The 6,820-nt window shown below is 47.3% G+C and overlaps 2 annotated features.

Annotated features, from left to right (window-relative positions):
- Nucleotides 4,149-4,850: an enhancer, noted in NCBI's record as "H3K27ac hESC enhancer chr8:20290912-20291613 (GRCh37/hg19 assembly coordinates)". NCBI's record gives its function as "activates a minimal SCP1, AML or CMV promoter by ChIP-STARR-seq in naive and primed H9 embryonic stem cells {active_cell/tissue: H9 hESC(naive and primed)}" and the evidence as "EXISTENCE:reporter gene assay evidence [ECO:0000049][PMID:30033119]".
- Nucleotides 5,527-5,696: an enhancer, noted in NCBI's record as "experimental_102576 CRE fragment used in MPRA reporter constructs". NCBI's record gives its function as "activates a minimal promoter by MPRAs in K562 erythroleukemia cells, with activity observed for both the introgressed and non-introgressed 8:20292375 variant alleles {active_cell/tissue: K562}" and the evidence as "EXISTENCE:reporter gene assay evidence [ECO:0000049][PMID:34662402]".

Consider the following 6,820-nt stretch of genomic DNA (forward strand, 5'->3'; position numbering starts at 1 on the left):
GAGAGTGGTCAGTGGGTCAGGAGATGACCTGTCAAAAGCCACCTGTGAACCATCTGGATCTCCCTCATCTATTGTCAATGTAAGCTCGCATCCTGCACTGATTGAGGTCAGTGCTTCCAAAGGTAAACCTGTAGGTAATTTCAAGAATTTCAAGAAATCTGTGGTCTTGAGCCCAGGAGCTACTAGACAGCTCTCTCTCTTTCTCTCAATAGAGAATGTATCTTTTAGAGCAGTTTTAGGTTTACAAAAAACCATAACCCAAAATACAGAGAGTTCTGATATACCCCTCCGGACCCCCGACCAAGCTCCCCTTGTTATTAACGTCTTGCTTTAGTGTGATCCATTTGGTACAATTGATGAGCCAATATCGACTTGTTATTATTAAATGTATCCACCATGACTGTATCATAAGAATAGTTTCACTGCCCTAAAAACTCCTGTCCTCCATTTACTGCCTATTCGTCTCTATTCCCTCCACCCTCCTAGCCCCTGACAGCCACTCATCTTTTTACTGTCTCCATAATTTTGCCCTTTTCAAGATGTTATATAGTTGCCATCACATAGGACTCTTCTCCTTTCACAATTCCTTTCAATTTTGGTTTAATTTGGTGGCTGCGTCCATCCCGGAGTGATGGAACTAAGAAACCTCTCTCCTCCCACAGTTATATAGGCTCACTCATGTAATTGAGAGGCAGCGATGTACAAGATAAACGTGTTCTCACTTAGCAAGGAGGATAGATCCACCGTTAGCCTAGAGGGGACAGATTGGATCTTTGCAGTTTCCTTGATTCAGTAAAGCACATTTAATCACTTAAATACTTTTTGATGATGAGCTGGGATGATCGTTACCATTTAAACCAACTCCCCCCAGTCTCTCATGTGTCCTGAATAAGAGAACTGATATGGCAGGGACATGGGAGTTTTGTTTTGTTTTGCCGTATTTATTTGTTTGAATCATCCACTTTTGCACTTAGAATGATCCAAATTCACCTGGAAACTGCAGAGCTCCTACTTGGATGCAGGCACTGTGGTGCCGGCAGGATGGAGCCGCTGGCTAGGAGTCTGAGGGGTTAGCGTGAGGACGGAGGTAGGCTCTGGCCCAGCTCTTTCCCAAAGGCTTAGAGCACAAGGGAGCCCAGTGGAAGATGTCAGGGAAGGGCAAGTGTGTGGGAGATCTTGCCTGTGTTATTTATCAGATTTACGACCGCTAGTAGCACTTATCAAAAGTGACGTTTATTGGGTGTGAAATGTTCTCATTTGTTAGATAACACAAGCTGTTTAGTATTAAAGCAACTTTCACACAGAACAATCTCCTCTGTCATTAGGGACCTCCTAGGATTAATTACTGAGATCTATGCCCCAATGTGCAGATGCCTCCTAGAACCATAAACTTATAAATCACGCATGAGCTGATTGCTAAGAAATTTTCCTTAAAGCCTCGATCTTTCTGCGAGGGGGACTAGGCAAGTCATGTGAAGAGTCAGTTGCTCACAGATGAGCACTCTCTGGAGGCCTGCGCTCCTGGTCTAAAAGGCAAGGCTGTCCCTGCACCTCTCAGGCTTAAGATGGCTATGATGACATATCTCTACACGCATATTTAGCCTTTCAAAGTATTTTATCCTTAATGATGCTTTCTTTCTTTCATCATTGCACCAACAGCACTTGGAAAGTGTATGCACGTAGTAGGCCCTTAATCATGGTGATGGATGAACGAGAGCCCCAGGAAGCACAGGGATCTGCTTGGATCTAAAAGGTAGGTGTGCTGCTTATCTCAGATCACAAAGGCTCCCACAGGCTGAGCTGGTTCCAGGAGCCCAGTCTCTTCTCTGAATCCAATTCACCCTTCCTTTTGACTTGTTCTTCAAGGCAACATCGTCCCAGGTCTCTGACCCCTGAGGTCACCCAGAGCAACACTATGACACTGTTAGGGATCATGAGAAAAATAATCAGACATCAGCTACAAGGGAATGTGTAGGGGCATCCAAAATTACTTAGAATGAAGGTGGAGTCCATACGTAGAGGAAATACACCCACTAGTTACCAAAGCACTTCAGATCACTAATCATTCTAGGGCACAAATAAATGAATATAAAATGCTACAAGATGGATTAGGGTGGACATTAGGACATTTTTATGGGCACTTACACACATTAATGGGCAACAGGCAAATAAAGGTTGTTGAATCTTCTGTATTGCACATCCACTGTGCGAGTTGGTAAAAATACGACATCCAAGGTAGTCCCAAGGCATGTGGATTCACTCTCCAAAAAGATATCCCATCTCCAACACTATCACCCTAGGTCAAGACATCACCATCTTTTACCTGTTGCAAAAATCTTCTAACTGGTTTTCCCATTTCTATGTCTGCTCTAAAATATTCCATAGCAACTGCTTAAAACATCCCAATGGCTTCCCTTTGTACTTAGGATAAAATCCAAAATCTTGATCATGACTCAGAAAGCCCTGCAGGATCAGGCCCCTGACTACCCTCCCAACCTTGATTCTTACCATTCTTTCTCTCACTCACCATCTACAGCCACACTGGCCTTCTTCTGGTTCCACAGATGTGCTGGCTTTTTACTGCCTCAGGACATTCGCATGGGCTGTTCCCTCTGCCCACAATGTTGTTCCTCTCACTGTCTACACGACTGGCTCCTTATCATCCTCCTGATTCCCTTCCAAATTCATCCTACATGTAATTTCTTCAGAGAAGCCTTCCCTGACCACACAATCTCAACTAGACTCTTCTTCTGTTATTCTCTCTTAAAGCCCCTTGTCCATTCCCTTCGAAGCACCTGTTGTTTATTTGTGTTTTCGTTTTTAGTACCTATTGCTCACCTTACATGGTATGATACATAAGGGCAGGGACCATGTGTATTTGTTCTGCCAATAGCACCTTAGAGTTAAGCATAGTGTCTGATGGCAGAATAGACATTTAAGCAAAATCCGTTCTATGAATGGAGAAGGAATGAATTAATGAATACTAAGAAATATAATGCACTTGTAATGTTCCCGAGAAGCTTACAATCCATTGTGTGTGTGTGTGTGTATGTGTGTGCATTTGTGTAAAACATGTACTTCCTAAAAGCTCAGAAATATTTGTCTGTTTTGTTCACTGATGTACCTCCGATATCCAGGCAAAACTTGGCACTTAGTAGCTCAAATAAATGCAAATCAATATTTGTTGAGTGAACAATGAGCAGAAATATAAGGAACTATTACAATATTTAGCAGGGAGACTTAACCTAGTCTGCAAGCCGTAGCAGACATTTGAGAGTAAGAGGCATTGAAATGGAGAGCCAGCATTATCCACATGAAGGGAAGGGGGAAGACGTAGGGGAGAGTAGTTCAGACGTTGTGAATCACCTAAAGGAAAGGCCGAAGGGAAGAGGAAAAACTGAGCTTGGCATGGTACAAGTCCAAAAGCAATTAAGTGTGCAGTAAGGCTGGATGAGTATCACTGCAGATAAAGTCGGAGAATCCGTAAACCCTTATACTGGGAAGGAGTCCGCTGGGTGAAAATTGGATTTCCCATCATATAAGCAGGCACTGACCTTACTGTATTAGGCCATTCTTGCATTGCTATAAAGAAATACCCGGGACTGGATAATTTACAAAGGAAAGAGGTTTAATTGGCTCACAGTTCTGCAGGCTGTACAGGCATGGTGCTGGCATCTGCTCAGCTTCTGGGGAGGCCTCAGGGAGCTTTAAAGGCCCAGGAGTGGAATAAAATTCGGTGTGCCAGGGCAGGAAGCAGGGCCGGAGATCAGGAAGCATTTGGGAACATAAGCCTGGCTAGATGAGGCCTTTTAGACCAGCTTAAGGATTCTAAATTTTATCCTTAGATCTGGGAGAAGCTCCTGAAGAGTTTTAAGCAAAAAACATAATTGGATTTGCTTTTTTTGTTTTTTTTTTTGAGACGGAGTCCTGCTCTGTCACCCAGGCTGGAGTTCACTGGCCCAATCTCAGCTCACTGCAACCTCTGCCTCCCAGGTTCAAGCGATTCTCCTGCCTCAGCCTCCCGAGTAGCTGGGATTACAGGTGCCTGCCACCACTCATGGCTAATTTTTTGTATTTTTAGTACAGACAGGGATTCAGGGTTTCACCATGTTGGTCAGGATGGCCTTGAACTCCTGACCTCAGGTGATCCACCCGCCTCGGCCTCTCAAAGTCCTGGGAGATCCTTCCAGGGGCTGTGCGGAGGATGGACCTGGAAGATGTGAACGAGGAATGTATTGCAGCAGACTAGGTGGAAACAACAGGGGTCTGTGCCTGGGAGCTGGAGAGGGAGGAAAGGAGAAGGAGAAGAGGTAGATTTTTGAGGGAGAAATGGAAGGACAGGTCCTGGCTTGGATTTGGGGAGGAAGAAAAGGATATGGCAAGAATGGCTCAAAAATCTCAGATTTAAATTTAAAAAAGCTCTTTCCCTTGCCTTGACTGTTCTAGCTTGTTCTTGCAATCACTTTGGGAGGAACTAACCAGTGGGTGTTGTCCCTGGTTAACAGAAAATAAGAAACGGAGAGACTAAGGACGTCATCGGAGTCTCACGGCTGGCTGGTAAAAGCCGGGGGAAGATCTGTCCTCTTCAGCCCCTGGTATCACCTCGGAGCTCTGTGGGACAGTGGAGGGAGGGGTGGGAAGCACCGTGTCTTGTGCCTAGGCTTTCTCCCATCAGGGGAGGGATGGCCCAGGAGGTGCCTGCTGGCCCATTGCCTCTAGGCTGGCCCCCTTCAATGTGGCTCTGTCCCACCTCCACCCTGCATCTCACCGCCAGCTCGAGGCTCACTTTTACTTAATGACTCTCATCTCCCAGAAAGTTCCGCCCCAGAATCCACAATGGGCGACATTACGAACTCCTCATGTCTGGTGATAACTTTTTATGAGGTTTTTATTCTTTTACAATATATTAAAGCCATATTTTTGCCAGGTTTTTACTTCAGTTTATTTCTTGTCCTTGAATCACTCTTCTCCTTCTCTCCCCCCGCCCCTCTGATTCCTTCCCCCACTCTCTTTACCTGAGCAGGCTTTGCACTGGAGATGTTTAATTCTCCTTTAATCCCAATTCCCGGAGGTACATGAAAGCAGCTTTACGATCCCATAAATCCAAGAAGATAAAGTGCATTTTTATTAGTTGTGTTGGCGTCAAAGGGAAAAAAATGGAATCTAATGTGAAATAGTCAGTAATGAATTTACTTAATAGCTATCCTCATCACTTAACGTGGCACATGGAGGGTAGTGGCCCAGGGGGTAGGGCTGGGGACTGGTTGCTTTCTCAAGAGATGAAGCAAAGGGTAAAATCCTTGCAGGTTGGGTGTTTTTTTCTTCTTCTTCCTCCAGCAGGAAGAGATTTCTTCCAAATGAAGCTAGAAGGCTTGAAGGCAGGGTGGGAGGGGCAGAGACAGGCTGGCTAGGAGTGGAAGCCCACTTTTGCCCTGGGGCTGCCGAAGGTCTGTCCTCTTTGCTCTCAGCCCTGGTGAATGGTCTGGCCCCTGAGATCAGCTTTGGTGAAAGATGGAAGGCAGAGTCAGGGATGAATGACATCACTTAGAAGGGGGTGTGTTCCCCTCCAGGGAGCAGGTCAGCTCTGCAGGTAGCCAGCTGTGCAAAGGGGCCCTGCGTGCCCCATCCTCCCTACGAAGGTGAGGGGCAGCTCTGAGGGCATCCATGCTGGCTTCAGGTCAGAGCCTTGCTGTTCTCCCTCTTGGTCCAGGCAGGCCTCAGGTTTCTTATCTCAGATCCTGCAGGTCATTCAGCAACAATGGGCTACACCCTCCCCTATGACCCCCGCGCTGCGCCTCACATCCTATGTCTTTGTTGCTGTAGGCCCAGGGTTTGCAATGACTCCCTCATCTCTCCTCACCTCACTGCTTCCTCCTTCTCCCGTCCTCTCCTCCTCTTTCCCCTTAACTCTCTACTTCTGTCTCCCTTTCCTTGCAACCCTCCAATCTGCTTAGAGAAAGCCCTGATGCCTGCGCTGGCACTGGAGTGGGAAGGGCCCTTTCCACTCCAGATCCTAAGACTGCAGGGCGGCAGGCAGTCAAGTGATCCCTGGAGAACACTGAAGCTTCCTGGTAGTCTTTGCTTGTAGTTTTTAGGACCTTTTGGGGTTGAAAAAGAGAGCTTTTTTTCTCCCACACTTTTTAAAAAGGGGAAAGGGGCATTTGCAAGGCCTGGAGTGGGGACGGGTTTATGCCTTATGGCCACTAGATGGCAATAGCCAAACGTGCGCAAAGCAAGCAGCCCGCAACCCCGCCGGCAGCCTCTCCCAGCATCTCTTGCCACGGAAGGCCTGGTGATGGGGGGAGGGTGGCGAAAGAAGAGGCAGGAAACAAACGCATAGGTAGGCAGGGGAGGGAGGCGTTTGAGAAATGGGGTTGGTCTGAAGCCGCACGTGAGGAAAGAGGTGTGGTGAGTGCAGGATGCTGTGCTGCCCCCACGCAGGGCTCAGCCTGCTCTCCAGTAGGGACCGGCCACTGGGGCCCCAGCTACTCTGTGAAGTCCTGGCCAGGTGAGGGTGGAGCACTGGTCTGGGCGTTACCACACCTGGTTCCTGCTGTGCTCAGGTGTGACCTTTGGGATGCTAGGTATTCATACAGGGAGAACAAATGGTTTCCTGTTTCTCAAGGTGGCACTGAGGAGGGGCTGTGGTTTCATTTGATTTCAGGGGTGTCCTGGGGTCAATGAGGCAGGGCATAGTGCGGAGGTTTGCATGAGGTTGCAGTTTAAATTTCCTATCATGAAAGCTGTCCCTCTGCCCAGAATAGCCTGGAGGCTGGATCAGCCTGTCAGTCAACCCATCCACAAATACAGGCAGGGGAAG

Source organism: Homo sapiens, chromosome 8 (assembly GCF_000001405.40).
Source record: "Homo sapiens chromosome 8, GRCh38.p14 Primary Assembly".
Taxonomy (NCBI): Eukaryota; Metazoa; Chordata; class Mammalia; order Primates; family Hominidae; genus Homo; species Homo sapiens.